The sequence below is a fragment of the Homo sapiens genome, chromosome 2, assembly GCF_000001405.40.
Source record: "Homo sapiens chromosome 2, GRCh38.p14 Primary Assembly".
In the NCBI taxonomy this organism is placed as follows: domain Eukaryota; kingdom Metazoa; phylum Chordata; class Mammalia; order Primates; family Hominidae; genus Homo; species Homo sapiens.
In genome coordinates, this window is record NC_000002.12 from 174,235,995 (window position 1) to 174,255,870 (window position 19,876).

The 19,876-nt window shown below is 42.1% G+C and overlaps 1 protein-coding gene and 1 pseudogene across 3 annotated transcripts in view, besides 1 other annotated feature; both read right to left on the bottom strand.

Annotated features, from left to right (window-relative positions):
- The window catches only part of OLA1 (Obg like ATPase 1), a 176,086-nt gene extending 163,548 nt beyond the window's left edge, over positions 1–12,538 (bottom strand). For 2 of the 3 annotated variants that reach the window (NM_001328688.2, NM_013341.5), the window contains exons 1-2: positions 12,458–12,538; positions 10,721–10,821 (exon numbers count right to left, since the gene is read on the bottom strand). In NM_001328688.2, the coding sequence (NP_001315617.1) occupies positions 10,721–10,821 (101 nt within the window). In that variant the 5' untranslated portion in view covers positions 12,458–12,538. The remainder of the gene's footprint in view (positions 1–10,720; positions 10,822–12,457) is intronic. The other variant, NM_001011708.3, reaches the window with a different exon arrangement.
- Positions 4,149–4,463, bottom strand: RN7SL65P (RNA, 7SL, cytoplasmic 65, pseudogene; annotated as a pseudogene).
- Positions 12,324–12,843: a silencer, noted in NCBI's record as "silent region_12124". NCBI's record gives its function as "represses an Ori minimal core promoter by ATAC-STARR-seq in GM12878 lymphoblastoid cells {active_cell/tissue: GM12878}" and the evidence as "EXISTENCE:reporter gene assay evidence [ECO:0000049][PMID:35858748]".

The following is a 19,876-nucleotide window of genomic DNA, read 5'->3' on the forward strand; positions in this document are numbered from 1 at the left end:
AGCACAAAATCATATTAATCCATCATAAGAAGACTCAAAACAATTAATCTGATACATAAATAACTAAATGCCATACCGAGGTCCAACACTCTTTAAAGGAAAACAACAATATTTAGCATTTAACATAAAATCCACAGTGTATAGAATCCAATAAAAATTATAAGACATGCAAAAAAGCAGAAATATATATACCAAAATCAGGATAAAAGTCAGTAAATACAAATATAGTAATGAGAGATGAAGTAGCATAAAAGGACCTTAAAATAAATGTTACAAATCTTTTAAAATTTTTCTTAAGGATATAAAAGCTAATATAAAGACAGTGAGGAAGAAAATGAAACACATAATATCCAAATAAAATTATTGTTAAAAAGATACAATATTTGAAATAAAATGAAATTGAAATGAAAAATACACTGGACATGATTAACAGAAGATTGGACACTGCAAGCAAAAGACCTTGAAGACAGCAATAAAAGTATCCAAATGAAGCACAAAGAGAGAAAAAGACTGGAGAAAGAAATAACCAGAGCTTCAGCAGGATACTATCTAGGGAAGAACATGCATTTACAGCCATACATCGCTTAATGATGGAGATACATTCTGAGAAATGGGTCCTTAGGCAATTTCATCATCGTGCGAACATTACAGAGTATATTTACACAAACCTAGATGGTACAGCCTACTACACACCTAGGCTATATGGGATAGCCTATTGCTTCTAGGCTAAACCTGTACAGCATGTTACTGTACTGAACACTGTAGACAAATGTAACACAATGGCAGGTACTATATATCTAAACATAGAAAAGGAACAGTAAAAATACATATAAAAGTGAAATAGGACGCTTACCATGAGTGGAGCTTGCAGGCCTGGAAGGTGCTCTGGGTGAGTCAATGAGTGATGGTGAGTGAATGTGAGGGCCTAGGACATTACTGCACACTACTGTAGACTTTATGAACATTGTACATTCAGGATACACTAAAATTATTTTTTAATATTTTTCTTTCTTCAATAAATTAGCCTTAGCTTACCAATACTTTTTACTTTATCAACTTTAATTTTAACTTACTGACTCTTTTGTAATAACACTTAGCTTAAAATACAAATACACTGTATAGCTGTACAAAAATATTTTTTCTTTATATCCTTATTCCATATGCTTTTTTATATCTTTAAAATGTGTGCTTTTTTTAAAAACTTTTTTGTTAAACACCGAGACATAAACACATACATTAACCCAGGCCTACATGGAGTCTGATCATGAATATCACTGTCTTCCACCTACACATTTTGTCCCACAGGAAGGTTTTCAGGGGCAATAACACACATGGAGCTGTCATCTCCTATGATAACAATGCTTCCTTCTGGAATACCTCCTGAAGGAACTGCCAACGGCTGTTTTACAGTTACTTTTTTTTTTTATAAGTAGAAAGAGTACACTCTAAAGTAACCATAAAAATTACAGTATAGGCTGGGCATGGAGGCTAATGCCTGTAATCCCAGCACAAAGAGACTGAGGCAAAGAGATCGCTTGAAGCCAGGAGTTCAAGACCAGCCTAGGCAACACAGGAAGTCCCCATCTCTACAAAAATATATCTTTTTAATTACTCAGGTGGGGTGGCGTGTGCCTGTAGTCACAGCTATACTCAGGTGGCTGAGGCAGGAGGATTGCTTGAGCCCAGGAGCTCTAGGCTGCAGTAAGCTATGATCAGGCAACTACACTCCAGCCTGGGCAATGGAGCAAGACTCTGTCTCAAAAAACAAACAAACAAAAATTAACTATAGTAAATACATAAGCCAGTAACTGTCATTTATTATCAAGTATTACGTACTGTACATAATTGTATATGCTATACTTTTATATGACTGGCAGCACAGGCTTGTTTACACTAGCATCACCACAAACGTGAGTAATGCCTTGCACTATGAAATTACCACAACTACAGTATCACCAGGTGATAGAAAATTTTCACCTCCATTATAATCTCATGGGACCTCCGTCATATATGCAGTCAGTCATTGACCAACATCATTATGCAGCACTTGTCTGTAATAGGCATCCCAGAAAGGGAATAAAGTAGAAGATTATCTTCAAAGCACTAGAAGAATAACTGTTAACCTAGAATTCTACCCAGTGAAAATATCTTTCAAAATGAAGAAGTGATAAGCACATGAAAAGATGTCAATATTCTTAGCCATCAAGAAAACACCAATTGGCCAGCCACGGTGGCTCATACCTGTAATCCCAGCACTTTGGGAGGCGGAGGCAGGCGGATCACCTGAGGTCAGGAGTTTGAGACCAGCCTGGGTCAACATGGTGAAATCCTGGCTCTATTAAAAATACAAAAATTACCTGGTGGTGGCGCATGCCTATAATCCCTGTTACTTAGGAGGCTGAGGCAGGAGAATCACTTGAACCCAGGAGGTGGAGGCTGCAGTGAGCCAAGACTGTGCCACAGAACTCCAGCCTGGGCAACAGAGTGAGACTCTATGTCCAAAAAAAAAAAAAAAAAAAGAGAAAAAACACCAATCAAAAACTTCACAACTTGGCTATAATCAAAAAGATAACAACAAATGTTGACAAGGATGTGAAATATTGGAACCCACATACACCACCTGTGCGCACATAAAATGGTGCAGCCACTTTGGAAAACAGTTTGGCAGTCCTCAATAGTTAAATATACAGTCACATGTGACCCAGAAATTCTACTTCTAAATATATACCTAAGAGAAATAAAATCATATATCTAAATAAAAATTTATGTATCCTAAGGCTGAAGCAGACAGAGTACAAATAACATATTGTACTGAAATATAAAATATGTTGTATATAACTGAAAGATACTGTGGTGTCAGAAAGTAGAAAGCACTCAAAAAATAAAGAGGACATGTCAAAAGGAATATAAGTGAACATAAAGGCTCCTAATCACCAAATATGGGCAATTAGAGTGACAAAATAACAACAGTAATGGATTATAACCAAAAGAATAAATTAAGAATCTATACTGATATAAATAAATTATAATCAAATACATGAATAAATGGGAAACTCTTTTGTACAATAGGATTTTACACAATAGAAGTTCCATTGTTCCTTCTACAAATTGTTTCTTCTAAATGTAGAAGAAATAAGGGATATTTTTTAATCACCATTTGGCAAACACCACAATAATAACTGTTTCAGTAAGAATCAATAACACATGCCAAAATTAGGGGGCAAAAGTATGAGAAACAATATATGTACAAAATTTCAAAGGACCCCCTACAAGATGCTTATTAATTGCAATGGGAAAAATAACCCTTTCAGTGAAGAAATCTGTCAGATACCAACGAGCAATCAAAGTTAATATCACCAAAAATGGACAAATCAACATCATGTGCTTTCTAATACACTGTATTGAAAAGCATATGTCACTTATGTGCTCAAAAGTACATAACTTGAAATTAATTATGAGGAAACATCAGACAAACCCCAAATGAGAGCTGTACATAATAACTGGCCAGTACTCTTCAAAAGTGTCAAGGATATCAAACACAAAAAGAGACTGAGAATGTGTTCCAGGTTAAAGGAAACTAAGGAAACAAAACACTTAAATGCAGCTGGGCACAGTGGCTCATGCATATAATCCCAGCACTTGGAAGGACGAGGTGGGAGGATCACTTGAGGCCAGGAGTTTGAGACCAGCCTGGGCAACATAGTGAGAACCCATCTCTACAAAAAAAAAAAAAAAAAAAAAAGTTAAAAATTAGCCTGACATAATAAAATGTGCCTGCAGTCCCAGCTATTCAGGTGGCTGAGGTGGAAGCATCACTTGAGCCCAGGAATTTGAGGCTGCAGTGAGCTATGATCAGGCCAAGGTACTCCAGCCTGGATGACAGAGCGAGACTCTATCTCAAAAAAAAAACAAAAAACAATTAAATGCAACATACAATTATGGATTGAATCTTGGACCAAAAAAAGGACATTAGAGGGACAATTAGTAAATCAATGTTTATTTCCTGATTTTGATCATTGTATTATAGTTATAAAGATTTTAACACTTAGGGGATCCAAGCAGAGGTTAAATAGGAATTTTTAAAACTATTTTTGCAACTGTGAGTTTTTTTAAGCATGAAATTATTTCAAAAGAAATTTTTTTTCCATATGGGTCTTACTATATTGTCCAGGCTAGAGTGTAGTGGCTATTCAGAGATCTCACTACCCATCAGGACAGGAGTTTTGATCTGCTCTGTTTTTGACCTGGACCAGTTCACCCTCCTTAGACAACCTAGTGATCCTCCACTCCTGATAGGTCACCATATTGATGCTGAACTTAGTGCTGACACTGGATCACCACTGTGGGTGGCGTTGCAGACACCCAATCAGCATAGCACAACACAGCCCAGAACTCCTGGGCTCAAGGTATCCTCCTACCTCAACCTCCTGAGTAGCTGAGACTACATGTGGGCACCACTGAGACCAGCTCAAATTTTTTTTTAATTTAATCTTAAGTGAAAAGTCAAGCAAACTGGCAAGAGATCATTGTAATACATATCCAACAAAGAACTCATATCCAGAATAAAAAACTAATCATTAAGAAAAAAAAAGACTTTTTACATAAGATATCCAATAACATATGGAAAGATGCTCAAAATCACAAGCCATCAAGAGATATCTCTGATATCCATAGATACCTGTCTTCTCGGTAGACATGGGAATCTGACTCTTAGCTTAATTTTATCAGCTCTTTAGAATGAAAATACTCAGATCATCAGTATTTGCAGCCTAGAGAATAATTTTCCTCCTGTGAGTTCCTTTGAGCAATCAAGAATGGAGCTTCTAAAACACAAGTGAGCTAAGAATCAACTAGGCAGACTTCTAGGAACACATAGACATCACATATTTTGTATCAGGAAAATAGTGGACTGCAGTGGATTGAAGATGGCCACACATTTTTTGTCACTCCTCCCATCAAGAGGTAGAGTCTATTTCCCCTCTCCCCATGTCTCTGGGCTGGTGTCATGACTTGCCTTGACCAAAAGATTTCTGTGTAAGTTTGCTATGCCACTGCCACACCTCCATTCTCTCGAGAGCCAGACGCCAAGATATAAGGAAGCTTGGTCTAGAGACCACTTAGAAAGAGAATGAGGCCAAGTATAAGAGAAGTGCCCCAGACTTCCAGTCAATCCAGCTAAGGCCCCAGATCTGTTAAAATGGCCATCTTGGATCTTTCAGTCTCAACTAGCCACCAGCTGAATGCAGTCACATGAGGGATCCCAATGAGACTGGCAGAAGACCTTTCTAACTCACTACATTCCCGACGAACAAAAATTGTTACTATTTTAAACCATGAACTTTTGGAATGGTTTGCTACACATCAACAGATAACTATACAATGGTGATAATTCTCTTGTGATTTTTTCTTTTTTTTAGCATTTTCTACAACCTTTTCCCTCAGCAATGGTAAATGGCTTTCACAGACGCTGTGATTGGTCTGCAGAAATTTGGGAGAAGGCAATTTGCAGGGACACCAAAATGCATTCCCAGAAGGATCAGCTAAACAAGACAATTACTCTCCTGGGGCAGTTTGTGAGTGTTTGAACACAGTATACTAGTTGCCCATAATATCCATTTTCCCCTTCTTTCAGAGTAATCGTTTTTTGTTTTTTCTTTTTAAGACAGAGTCGCACTCTGTGGCCCAGGTTGGAGTGCAGTGGCACAATCTTGGTTCACTGCAACCTCTGCCTCCCAGGTTCAAGCCATTCTCCTGCCTCGGCCTCCCGAGTAGCTGGGATTAGAGGCGTGCGCCACCACACCCAGGTAATTTTTGTATTTTTAGTAGACATGGGGTTTCACCATGTTGGCCAGCCTGTTCTCAAACTCCTGACCTCAAGTGATCCGCTTGCCTCAGCCTCCCAAAGTGCTGGGATTACAGGCGTGAGCCTCTGCACCCAGCCAAGAGTAACAGAATTTTTAACCAAACATGTGGCTGTCAAAATAAAGACTACATTTCCTTGCCTTCCTTGCAACTAAATTCTTGTGACTAAATTCTGGACAAAGGGATGTTGGCAGAAGTATGGTATGGCAGTTTACAGGAAAAAGGCTGCTAGTCAAGTTTGGCCCCCTGACCCTTCGGATAACCAGCTGCCTGGAATTCACAACACCTTAGACCAGCAGCCGCCAACCTTTTTGGCACCAGGGACTGGACCGTGAATTGGCTGATGGAAGCCAATTTTTCCACGGACCAAGGGTGTGGGGGATGGTTTCAGGATGAAACTGCCCCATTTTAGATCATCAGGCATTAGTTCGATTCTCATAAGGAGCGTGCAACCTAGATCTCTTGCATGCGCAGTTCACAACAGGGCCTGCGCTCCTCTGAGAATCGAATGCTGCTGCTGACCTGACCGGAGGTGGAGCTAAGGTGGGAATGCTCACTCGCCTGCTGCTCGCCTCCTGCCATGCAGCCTGGTTCTTCACACGCCACAGATCGGTACCAGTCCCCAGCATGAGGTTCGGGAACCCTAGCTCTAGACCATGAGGATGAGGCCACATCCTAGGGATTGCCAAGCTGTGAAGTGAAAGGAGCATGGGTTCCTGAGGACTTCATAAAGCAGGTCCACTATACCAAGCTATGACTGCAAAATGTACATTTTTACATGAAGAAAAAAAACTGGTTATCTGGGGTTTTCTGATGCTCTTAATTGAACCTAATCCCATCTGATGCAGTGGATAGCAACAAGAAGAGCTATCCCTCACAGAAATAAAGAAGTTTGGAACACTGTATCAAAACGTACTTTCGCCCCCAATATTCTCTAAGCCTCACAACCACAATAATACACTGCTCCAACAGGAGCTCATTTATAAAGGGTCACTCAGGTAAGAAAAAGCAGTACAGAACTAGAAACCAAATCTCCATATTCTTTCTACTTCATTAAAAGAGGTCATTTAATTGCCCAGCACGGTGGCTCACACCTGTAATTCCAGCAGGCGTGAGCCACCACACGGGGCAAGGAGACAGGCTTTTTTGTGTTTTTGTTGTTTTTTTTTTCAGATGGAGTCTCGCTCTGTCACCCAGGCTAGAGTGCAGTGGCGCGATCTCAGCTCACTGATACCTCCGCCTCCCAGGTTGAAGCAATTCTCCTGCCTCAGCCTCCTGAGTAGCTGGGATTACAGGGGCGTGCCACCACACCTGGCTAATTTTTGTATTTTTAGTAGAGATGGGGTTTCACCACGCTGGTCAGGCTGTGAAACCAGCCTCAGGGCAGCATGGTGAAACTCCATCTACAAACAATACAAAAATTAACCAGGCACGGTGTTTTGTGTGCCTGCAGTTCCAGCTATTCAGGAGGCTGAGGAGTAGGGACTGCTTGAGCCCGGGAGATTTAGGCTGCAGTGAGCCATGATCATGCCACCGCACTCCAGCCTGGGCAAGAGAATAAAATCTTGTTCAAAAAACAAAAACATGTCTCCTTATCACTAAATCTACATCCAGCCGTCAAAGGGGAAATATGTATCCCATTAACAAATAATTACTAAATATCTACTATGTTCCTAACACCATCGTGTCCCGTTAACAAATAATTACTAAATATCTACTATGTTTCTAACACCAGTCTAGGCACTAGAAATATACCAATAAGCAAGAACGAGACAATCGGTACCTTCCTACCTTCACAGAATTTAAATTGCAATGGAGGGGAATGTCAAACCACTTATTAAATTAGATAATATATATAAAGTACTCAAAATAGCGATTGGCATATAGTAAATGTTCAATATCTGATTAGCTATAAATATTACCTCTAAGTTTCTGGGTCATCAGCCTTATGCAGACTAAAAAGTAAGCCTTCCTATTCACCCAGCTAAAAACCAAGAGATTCTCTAGATGGTTTTGTACTGAATGTCCTTACTTTTGATCAGCAGGCCATCCTTTAGAGAACCGTCTCCCTCCCACAATCTATATCTTGTAGATCTATACAGAAGCACACAAGTCCGGTCGGATTTCCTTACTCAGGAATTGGAATTACAGGAGAGACAGGAAATGAGAAACACCCAGAAATCCAGGGATTCACATGGCTGAGCTCCACATGGACCCATTTCTGCCAGCACCACTTGGCTCTTATCCCTCTTGAGGCCTGGCTGTTCAGATTGTAATTCACTTATTCCAATAAACCTCTTTTTCCTGCTGAAAACAGCCAGAATTGTGTTGCTTACAAAGAATCCTACCTGATACAGTTGTGTGAAGTAAGATCATTCTACAAAAAGTAGTGTTTACAACCAAATACAATTGCCGAAACTCATTAAACTGTACCTTTAAAATGAGTGAATTTTACTATTTGTGAAGTATACCTCAATGACACTGGGAGGGGAAAGCATTTTATTTAAAAGTGTAAACAGCACACACACTTATTCTGAATAATAAAATATTTTTAGGTTACTTCCACGTACATTAATTTCATTATGCTCTATGACTAAAAAGCTATGGTCGTCCCTCCATAGCTGCAGGGGATTGGTTCTAAGATTCCAGCAGATTGAGTCCCTTATATACAATGGTGTAGTATAATACCTAATGCAATGTAAATGATAGGTAAATAGTTGTTTACTATTTTTTTTACTGTTATATTCTCATTTTTTATTTAATTAAAAAAAAATTTTTTTTTTTTGAGACGGAGTCTCGCTCTGTCACCCAGGCTGGGGTGCAGTGGCGGGACCTTGGCTCACTGCAACCTCCACCCCCCGGGCTCAAGCTGTTTCTCCTGCCCCAGCCTCCCGAGTATCTGGAATTACAGGCTCCTGCCACCATGTCCGGCTAATTTTTGTTGTGTTTTTTTAAAGTAGAGATGGGGTTTCGCCATGTTGGCCAGGCTGGTTTCAAGCTCCTGACCTCAAGTGATCCACCCACCTCGGCCTCCCAAAGTGCTGAGATTACAGGCATGAATCACCATGCCCAGCCAATTTTTTAAAAAAATATTTTTGATTTGAGATTGGTTGAATCCAAGGATGTGAAACCACAGATACAGAGGGTTGCCTATATGTACAGAAAACACTTAATATGGCCCATTTTAATATAGTCCCATTTAAAATCAAGTTGTAGTAACTGCAACAATTCTAGAATGAGAAGTATGTCAATATCTCAAAACTTAACTTCCTTACTAGTGCAATAAAGCTCACAACATAAATAATGATCATAGCTTGCTTTCACGTTTATTGATAGCACCCTACAGTATTTTGATTAATTATTTGTTTTGCTTACATTTCAACTCTCTACTTAGTCTTACTCTGCAAGCAGACTATATCACAGCAGGAAACCCCTTCAAAATGAAAACCTCTTCAAGCTCCAGGAAAGACTGAAATCAGGACAGCCACACTTGCTCATGTTTTACATTACATGAATTTAAGACATGCCTCACTTGGTCACGCCATGCTCTGTTCATTGAGGAATCTCTATGACAGGAGCTCCTCGGAATACCTAAGAACATGATTGTCCTACTTGCCACCAATCTAAAAGGCCACCCTTGATCACTTTCACAAATCCACACTGAATCTGCTACCTATTAGTACACCCTAATCACTTTTGAGATGTTTTATATTTTAAGGTTAGTGAAAGGATAAATAATGAAAAAGGAACACTTGGACCCAGTGCAGTGGCTCACACCTGTAATCCCAGCACTTTGGGAAGCCAAGGCAGGCAGATCACCTGAGGTCAGGAGTTCAACACCAGCCTGGCCAACATGGTAAAACCCCGTCTCTACTAAAAATAGAAAAATTAGCCGGGCGTGGTGGCACATGCCTGTAATCCCAGCTACCCGGGAGGCAGAGGCAGGATAATTGCTGGAACCTGGGAGGCAGAGGCTGCAGTGAGCTGAGATCACGTCACTGCACTCCAGCCTGGGCAAAAGAGCAAGACTCCATCTCAAAAAAAAAGAAGACTTTGAACACTTAAGTTGCGTGTGTATAGAGTTATGATAAACCCCACATATATTTCCTATCACTCTCTTATTTGCATATATTCAATTCACTGTAACTTTGAAAACATTACAGCTGGGCTCAGTGGCTCATGCCTGTAATCCCAGCACTATAAGAGGCTGAGGCAGGTGGATCATATGAGGTCAGGGGTTCAAGACCAGCCTGGCCAACATGGTGAAACCCCGTCTCTACTAAAAATACAAAAATTAGCTGGGCGTGGTGGTGCGCGCCTGTAATCCCAGCTACTCAGGAAGCTGAGACAGGAGAATCACTTGAACCCGGGAGGCAGAGGTTGCAGTGAGTCAAGATCATGCCACTGCATTCCAGCCTGGGCGACAGAGTGAGACTCCATCTCAAAAAAAAAAAAGAAAAAGAAAAGAAAATATTACAAAACTCAAATTTCTGCTCTCAGAACTTTCAGATTTAGACTCTTTATAACAGCAAACCTTTTACGATTTCCACTACGAAATTCAAAACTGTCACCTCCTTCTCCATCAAGCTTATTATGGTGGAGCTTTCAAATCAATTTCCTAAAGTAGCCTACTGCATGGCCTCTGGTAGACAGCCTATGTAGGTACCACACATAGCCAACCAGCACTGAAATCAATAAAATACATCTAAACTAAAGCCTAATTTTGCAATATTAATAGTCCAGCTTCCTGGCCTCTTTTCTTCAACTTAAAGTTTAATTACCTCACGGTTCCCATTTCTACAATAGGACCCAAAATATTTACAAAATGAAAATCACAAAAGCCCCAACGTTCACCTACCCAACATTTGGCAATCCAACAATACCAATTTTCAGTGAGGTTCCAAATCTTCCAATGATTGGGGGTGGTTTAATTCCATCACCTCCCTTTTTAGGGGGCATCTGAAATACCAAAGCAAACATATGAACAAAACTTTTTACTATCCACATGGACCCAAAACACATTTCATCACATACAATATATTATTGAATTAAGATTAAGAACAAAACATACTGTATATAGCGATCCAAAACTAACACAGAGCTAAATCCACTTTTTTTTCAGCAAAAATGTTTAAAAAGTTCTGTAAACATATCCGTTGTCAAAAGAGTCATTGCTGAGAAGTCCCAGAAAGACTGATCTAAAATCAATATTTGTTGGGCCGGGCACGGTGGCTCAGGCCTGTAATCCCAGCACTTTGGGAGGGGGAGGCCGAGGTGGGCAGACTGCTTGAGACCAGGAGTCGAGACCAGCCTGGCCAACACGGAGAAACCCCGTCTCTACTAAAAAGAAAAACAAATACAAAAAAATTAGCCGGCCATCAGGCGCGCAGCCTGTAATTCCAGCTACTCGGGAGGCTGAGGCTCGAGAACTGCTTGAACTCGGGAGGCGAAGGTTGCGGTGCGCCAAGATCACGCCACTGGGCTCTGCCTGAGCGACAAAGCTAGGCTCTGTCTTAAATAAATAAATAAATAAATAAAATATTTGTGGCACCAGGAATCAAAGATAAACTTAGAGTTTAGCTACCAATCTTCCATCCAGACTGCTCACAAAACACTTTATATCTTAACCTGATATATGGTTATATGAAAGAAAGCATTTGGAAGCAAGTACACAGAAGACAGTCAAAGAAAATTCCATTGTGGAACCACCAGCAGCCAAGTCACCCTTCACACCAAACCATTCCTCTATAATCTGGAATCTTATCTTTCCCATTCGCCCACAACCCCCATTTTTCACATAGATGAACACCCACCAGGTACTGGGGTCCTTCCACCAAGTCCCTCCCACCTTTGGCACTGAAGGTACGGCTCATCAGTCCTCATAAGCAACCTCCAAAATCTACATTATGGTTACTATTTCTAATGGTAAATTAATCGACGGAACCTTTTTATTTACAAGTCGAAACTTTCTCTGTCCCTTACTAGTTCTGTCTCCAAATCATGCGTGCAGAATTACTCCCACCCTTGGACTGCAAAGTGAAATCACAAAGACCGCTAAGCTCACGTCTCAGAAGCTGGGAACTAAAACTGTCCCAGTCTTCTGGCTGAGAGTTGTACCTCCTAGGACCACGCTGGGGCCCTGCCCTTGCAGTAGTATTCCAGCCTCTGATCCCTGACCCCGAGGGCCAGGAATTTCCCTTCTCAGCGTCCTGACACCTGTTCCTGGCCAACTCCCAGGCCTCCAAAGAACAGATACAGGAACAGCGCCTGTCGGGTCCTCTGGCCTACAGAGAGGTGGCCGGCAGCCCACCCAAAGTGGGCCCCACCCCCCATCCTCCTCTCCGGACTGGGCCACCGGGCGTCCTGGCGTCGGGAGAAGGCTTTCCCCAGGGCTTTCCCGCGTGAGGCGTAGGCCGATCTCCCGACGCGCGGCCTAGTCCGACAGCGCCTCATTCATCCACACATCCCCAAGCCACCCGCTGCCCTGGCCCCATCTTGGCCACTGGGCCCGGGCCCCGCGCCAGCCTCAGGGCAATGAGCCCAGGCGCCGAAGACCTGGCGGAGATCGCGCCCCCGGGCTCCCTGAGGGCCTCACCGTGCTCGGCCTGGGCGATGACACGGGGTCCCAGCGGCAGCGAGAGAAAGGTCCTGCCGGCAGCTGGAGGCGGGGAGGAAGGAGGAGAGAACGCAGGCCCGTCCCCTCCGCCGAGCGGCACGCACGACGGCGGCGACAGCGGCGGAACGGGCGGGCCGGGCGCCGAGCGGCACCTGCGCGCAGACCATGGGCCCCGCCCCTCCCCGCCTTGCCCGCGCGTCCCGCCCATTGGCCTAACCGGCCGGGGAGGCGGGAGTAGGGCGGGAGGAGCCCAGGGTGGGAGGAGCCGCGCGGCGGCAGGGAGCTGGAGAGGGGAAGGCGCTGGCTAGGCCGTTCCCGGGAGCTCTAGTCTTCCGCTTCGGCACGTGGGCTTCTCGGTTCTAGGTCTCCGCTTCCGTCTGGCTGCGCGGCCTGGGTTACCTGCTCACGTTCACTCGCGGGCCTACAGCCCCAAGCTTTCCCAGCTGGACTGCGGAGTGCCTTGGGCCCTGACTTCCCTCCGGGAGATCCGGGGCGTCTGAAGTCAGGCAAACAGCCACACCAGCCCCGAGGACCGCGTGGCCGCTAGCCCATCTCCCTTTTCTATAACTTTATTCGCTCAGTCTGTGCGGAGAGAAGCTGTTAACTAAAAGTTCTTGAAGGAAAAGGGGCTAAGGGAAACTTTGGTCTAGGGATTTCTTCCTCGCCTTATAGTTAAAGCGTCGCACACAGGTACTGGATCACAGAATGCGTTTAATTGAGCCAATTTCCCCCCTTTTCCTCTTGGTAGTTGAGAGCAGGGGCCTTTGAAATTTGGGAATTTCCAATCTGGATTTCGCCACTCATTGACTGTATGACCCTAGACAAATTAACTTCTCTGGACTTCAATTTCGTTCTGGATAAAATGAGGCTATTAAAACCACCTTATGAGGTTATTCGTGTGAGAATAAAATGAGACAATGCGTGTTGAGCTCATAACAACAGTACTCAGCACATACAGAAAAGGCTTGTGAGTAGTCGCTGTTGTTAATATTAGGATTTCATCCCATCTCACCCACATCATATCAATACCATGAGCGCCACTGGAGAAGGAATTCTTTCATTTAGGTCCTGGCCTTCAGATGTCATTCAGGTATTTGTTGTAATGAATATGATACCTGTCCAAAAATTGTGACACTAGAAGCTCCTTTTAAAGGGATTAGTTGCTATTAATATTAAAGGATGTAAATAGGTCGCCATCCCCATTTTACAAGTGAGGAAACAATATCAGAAAGGTTGATTAATTTGGATGAAGTCACACAACTAGTAAATGGCAGCAGCATATTTCAAACCACAATCTAACTGAAAATCTGGCCGTAATCCCAGCACTTTGGGAGGCCAAGATAGGGGGATCAGTTGAGCCTAGGAGTTGGAGAACAGCCTGGACAACGTGGTGAGACCCCATCTCTACCAAAAAACAAAAATTAGCTGGGTGTAGTGGCACATACCTGTAGTCCCAGCTACTCAGGAGGCTGAGGTGAGAGGATGGCTTGAGCCTGAGAGCTCAAGGTTGCAGTGAGCTATGATCACTGCCGCAGCACTCTAGCCTGGGTGTAGAGCAAGACCTTATCTCTAACAAAATAAATACAAATAAAAAGTAAAACTAAAACTATCTGAAAAATCTGTTTCCTTTCAGCGAGAATTCATTTTTATTTTTTGAGATGGAGTCTCACTCTGTCGCCCAGGCTGGAGTGCAGTGGCGTGATCTGGGCTCACGGCAACCTCCGCCTCCCGAGTTCAAGCAATTCTCCTGCCTTAGCCTCCTAAGTAGCTGGAATTACAGGTGCACACCACCACACCCAGCTAATTTTTGTATTTTTAGTAGAGACGGGGTTTCACCATGTTGGTCAGGCTGGTCTCGAATTCCCGACCTTGTGATCCACCCACCTCGGCCTCCCAAAGTGCTGTGATTACAGGCGTGAGCCACCGCACCCAGACGAGAATTCATTCAAATAGAGACTCCCTATAAGCTCTGAGCCAGTATTCATAATAAAATTGCATTAAGGCTTTTCCTTAGCCCTGTAACAGTGCTCTAGTGAGGTGAGTTAAAGAGCTTTCTCTACAATTTTGGAAATTCTCAAGGACACAGGCAACTTGATTTGGTTTTGTATTACTTTTTCTTAATATTATATATTAATGTGCCCTATTTATATTCTTGGTCTAGTACCCTTGTCACCAAAACTATATATGTATAAAACAGCTATCTTGGTGCACTTTAACTATGAAAAAGAGGGCTAACTAGCCCAAATTTTGTGGCCACTGTGAAAATAACTCTCAGGAACAGCCCTTCAAAGTGATTCCTGAATCATGTACTGATATTTTAGTAATGAAGCTCTATAGTGGATTCACACTGCTGCTTGTGGAAATAGAGAGGAACCATTACTTAAAAAGCTTGCCGGGTGCGGTGGCTCACGCTTGTAATCCCAGCACTTTGGGAGGCCGAGGCGGGCGGATCACGAGGTCAGGAGATCAAGACCCTGGGGAAACCCCGTCTCTACTAAAAATACAAAAAATTAGCCGGGCGTGGTTGCGGGCAGCTGTAGTTCCTGCTACTCGGAGAAGCTGAGGCAGGAGAATGGCATGAACCCGGGAGGCGCAGCTTGCAGTGAGCCGAGATTGCGCCACTGCACTCCAGCCTGGGCAACAGAGCGAGACACCGTCTCAAAAAAAAAAAAAAAAAAAAGCTCAAGAGGCCAGGTCTGGTGGCTCACACCTGTAATTCCAGCACTCTGGGAGGCCAAGGCAGGCAGATCACCTGAGGCCAGGAGTTCAAGACCAGCCTGGCCAATATGATGAAACCCCGTCTCAACTTAAAATACAAAAATGAGCTGAGTGTGATGGCGGGTACCTGTAATCTCAGCTACTCGGGAGGCTGAGGCAGGAGAATCGCTTGAACGTGGGAGGCGGGGGCTGTAGTGAGCCAAGATCACACCACTGCACCCCAGCCCGAGCAATAGAGCAAGACTCCATCTCAAAAAAAAAAAAAAAAAAAAAAACTCAAGAATCCCAGAGAGCCCTCTCTGCCCAGCAACCAGCCACTCCAATACTGATTGAAAATGTTCCCCGGTCATGGAGTACTAGAATCATCTTCAACTTATCACTGTCTTTTGGCCAAATCTAGATACTTCTTCAATATCAGAATCTCTCAGATCTACCCATTTCCTTAAATCTACACTATCAAGTTCTTAATCACTTGTTTCTCTATAACTACATCTTTCTTACCTGCACTTTTAACCACCTTTAAAGCGCCTTCCCAAAACAGGTTACACAAATCTCAGGCAGTATTCAGGAGTGGCCAGCTGGTGCTGCCAACACTTGCCTGATAATAGGACTCCATTTCCAACTCACTGTCACTGGGGGTAAATTTGTATTCACAAGAAAGAAGATGTGATTGGCCCAGTTCTGGTAAAGTTCTAACAAGGGTCCCATCAGCAATGGCTACGTGGGTAAGGGTCACATAGTCAAAAAGCTGTATGAGTGACCTCTCCCTGCCTACCAACGAAACACATAGTTCTCAGAAAAGACCCTAGTGGGTATCTACTATTCTACAACGCTAAAGGAAGACTCAGTGAAACAAACAGGATATTAGTAGTTAACACTGGCCCCCGCCACGGTGGCTCATGCGTGTAATCCCAGCACTTTGAGAGGCTAAGGTGGGCGGATCATCGGAGGTTGGGAGTTCAAGACCAGCCTGACCAACATGGAGAAACCCCGTCTCTACTAAAAATACAAAATTAGCTGGGCATGGTGGCGCATGCCTGTAATCCCACCTACTCGGGAAGGCTGAGGCAGGAGAATCGCTTGAACCCGGGAGGCGGAGGTTGCGGTGAGCCGAGATTGCACCTTTGCACTCCAGCCTGGGCAACAAGAGCAAAACTCTGTCTCAAAAAAAAACAAAAACAAACAAACACACAAAAAAATAGTTAACACTAATGCCAAGCCTAAAAAAGGGACTTTGAATAGAGGAAAGCATGTTTTTGAGCCTTTGCACAAAGGGAAGTCTATTTAGTACCCATTGGGCTCAATGATTAAGTTAAACCTAGAGGAAAGAATCAGATGTGGTCTAGAATGAAAACTGAGCAAAAGATTTCAGTCAGAGGGGGAATGAGAATAGACCATCAGGTCAGGTCAACAGAAGGTTGCTACTAAGGAAAGATCAATGGAATGAAAAAAAGTAGAGCCCATGGTTTCACTCTTTGCTATCGTTACCCTCTCTGGATTTTTCTTTCCTTACCAGGCTCAGCCAATGACCAGGGATCAAGTGAGTTGACCTAAGGTCACAAAGGATCTAGAGAATGGCTTGGGGTCAGTAATTTATCCCCAAATACAGAGTAGCTCTGCTGGAAATTCAGAGATTTATTGATCCTGTGCAGAAAGCTAAGCAACAGGAGACAGAAAGAGTACACAAAGAGAGAGGATGAGAAGGAAAAGAGGAAAATAGCAGCAACGTATTCACCATGTGCTAGCACGGCCTGACTACACCTGTTGGCCAGCCCCGTCCACATCTGTGAGGGGCATAACAGAAAACAGAATAATAGTAATAACTACACTAAAAGGGAAATTGAGTCCTGATAATAACTTTAGGAGGGGAAGGGGACAAGTGCACAAAAATAACTACCCTATATAGGTAGTTAACTTAAATTGCACTTTTCTTTTATTACCTGTATCAGATGTTTTTCTCTCTCTACACTAAGCTTACTATCATATCCAGAATTCAGATGAAGGACTAGGATAGTCCCATATGCTTAGAATATCCTACTCTGAACATTTTTGTTATTGTCTTTTATATAAAATTATGTTCTTGAACACCTACTCCATCCCAGGCATTGCTGTAGGCCTTGGAGTAGTGAAGAATAAGATAAATATGATTGGCCGGGTGCGGTGGCTCACTCCTGTAATCCCAGCACTTTGGGAGGCCGAGGTGGGCGGATCACGAGGTCAGGAGATCGAGACCACCCTGGCTAACACGATGAAACCCCATATCTACTACAAATACAAAAAATTAGCCAGGCGTGGTGGCGGGCACCTGTAGTCCCAGCTACTTGGGAGGCTGAGGCAGGAGAATGGTGTGAACCCAGGAGGCAGAGCTTGCAGTGAGCCGAGATTACACTATTGCACTCCAGCCTCGGTGACAGAGCGAGACTCCATCTCAAAAAAGCAAAAAACAAAACAAACAAACAAACAAAATATATATAATATATTATATATTATATATAATATATTTTATAATATATATAATATATTATATATTATATATAATATATTTTATAATATATAAAATATATTATATATAATATATAATATATTTTATAATATATATAATATATTATATATAATATATAATATATTTTATAATATATATAATATATTATATATATTATATATTTATATTTATTTATATATTCATAAATATATATTTATATATAATATATTTTATAATATATTATATATAATATATAATATATTTTATAATATATTATAATATATAATATATAATATATTTTATAATATATATAATATATAATATATTATATATTTATATTTATTTATATATTCATAAATATATATATTTATATTAATATATTATATATATGTTTTGTTTGTTTGTTTTGTAATATATATATATATATATATATATATAATCCTTGCCCTGAAGGAGCTAGCAATCTAGTGGAGTAGACAAATAAGTGACTACACAAATAATTATATAAGAAGCTGATAAAATATATAGAAGGATACCTAAATAACTACAGTTTGAAAGTTTAAAATAAACCATCTTGGTTTTCACTTACCTTCACAACTTCTGATATTATGTACGAGGCAGTGCCTAATCATCATCCCCTTTCCTTTTCCATCACCAGCAATACTCAGACCCTCTTAGGCATCAGCAAAGAAACAGATTTTCCATTTTCTTTCTTTCTTTTTTTTTTTTTGAGACAGGGTCTTGCTCTGTTGCCCAGGCTGGAGTGCAGTGGCCAGATCACAGCTCACTGCGGTCTCGACCTCCTGGACTCAAGCGATCCTCCTATCTCAGCCTCCCAAGTAGCTGGGACTACAGGTGTGCCCCATCATGACAGGCCTTTTTTTTTTGTATTTTTTGTAGAGGCGAGTTTTCTCCATGTTGCTCAGGCTAGTCTCGAACTCCTGGAGTCAATTGAGCCACCCTCCTAAGCCTCCCAAAGTGCTGGGATTACAGGCATGAGCCACCGTGCCCGGCCCAGATTTTCCATTGTCATTCTTATGCTTGAAGAGTCTGTTTCTTGAGTTATTGAATTTGGACCATAAGTTACCAGTGAAGTAAAACACAAGTAATCAATTGCTTCTATTCTAGAATTTCTCATAGTATTTGAAAGAATGCTGATTAAAAGAGCCATGTATCCTAGAAACTGCTGGAGTTTTGTAATATCTATTGTAATTCATGGTTTAAAATTTAGGAATCATTTTGTTCTTGTTGTTAAGATACAAAGTCTCCCTATGTTGCCCAGGCTGGAATGGAGTGGCTATTCACAGAAGTGCAGTGGCTATTCACCAAGGGCTGTTCATAGCACACTGCAGCCTTGAACTCCTGGGCTTAAGAGATCCTTCCACCTCAGCCTCCCAAGTAGCTGGGACTACAGGTGCATAACACCACACCCAGCTAATTTATTTTTCTTTGGTAGAGACAGGGTCTCAGTATGTTGCTCAGTCTACATTCAAAGTACTAGGGCTCAAGCAATCCTCCCTCCTCAGCCTCCCAAAGTGCTGGAATTACAGGCATGAGCCACCATGACCAGCCTCAATTTAGGAATTCTTAAAAGAAAACTATATATATTATTTTCTCAGAGGCAACATAAAAAGACATATCCTAATCCAGGAAAGTAAATATATTATCATTGTATTAGCTAGCTAATACTTTGAGATATAAATAACAGAAGTTTTGATTCAATGAAAATGTATCATATATAACAGAAAGTACAGAGCGGGAGAACAAGGGTGATAGATTCAATAGCTCAACACTATTTGCAAGGAGACTAGTTCTTTCCATATAATGTCCCTGTCTTCCTTGGGCTTCCCTGGTTTTATTCTTAAGCTAACAGCAAGCTATGATAGCAGTTCTAGGCAGCATAACCAGAATGACAATATTGGGGTAGAGTGGGACCATCTCTTTCAGTAGCTCTCTTTTAGTAAAAAGGGAAACATGTTTCAGATCTCTCCAGATAACTTCTTCTATTTCACTGGGCAAAATTGGGTCTCATGCCTGTGCCTGAACCAGACACTGGCAGGGAAAATGAACTTACCCTTAGACCATTTAGTCCATCCTTGGGACTAGAGGAGAAGTCAACTTCCTCTGAGGCACATGGCTGTGTGAAGTATGGATAGATATCTGAGCAAAAGCAGGGTTGTATAAGAAAAGGACACCAG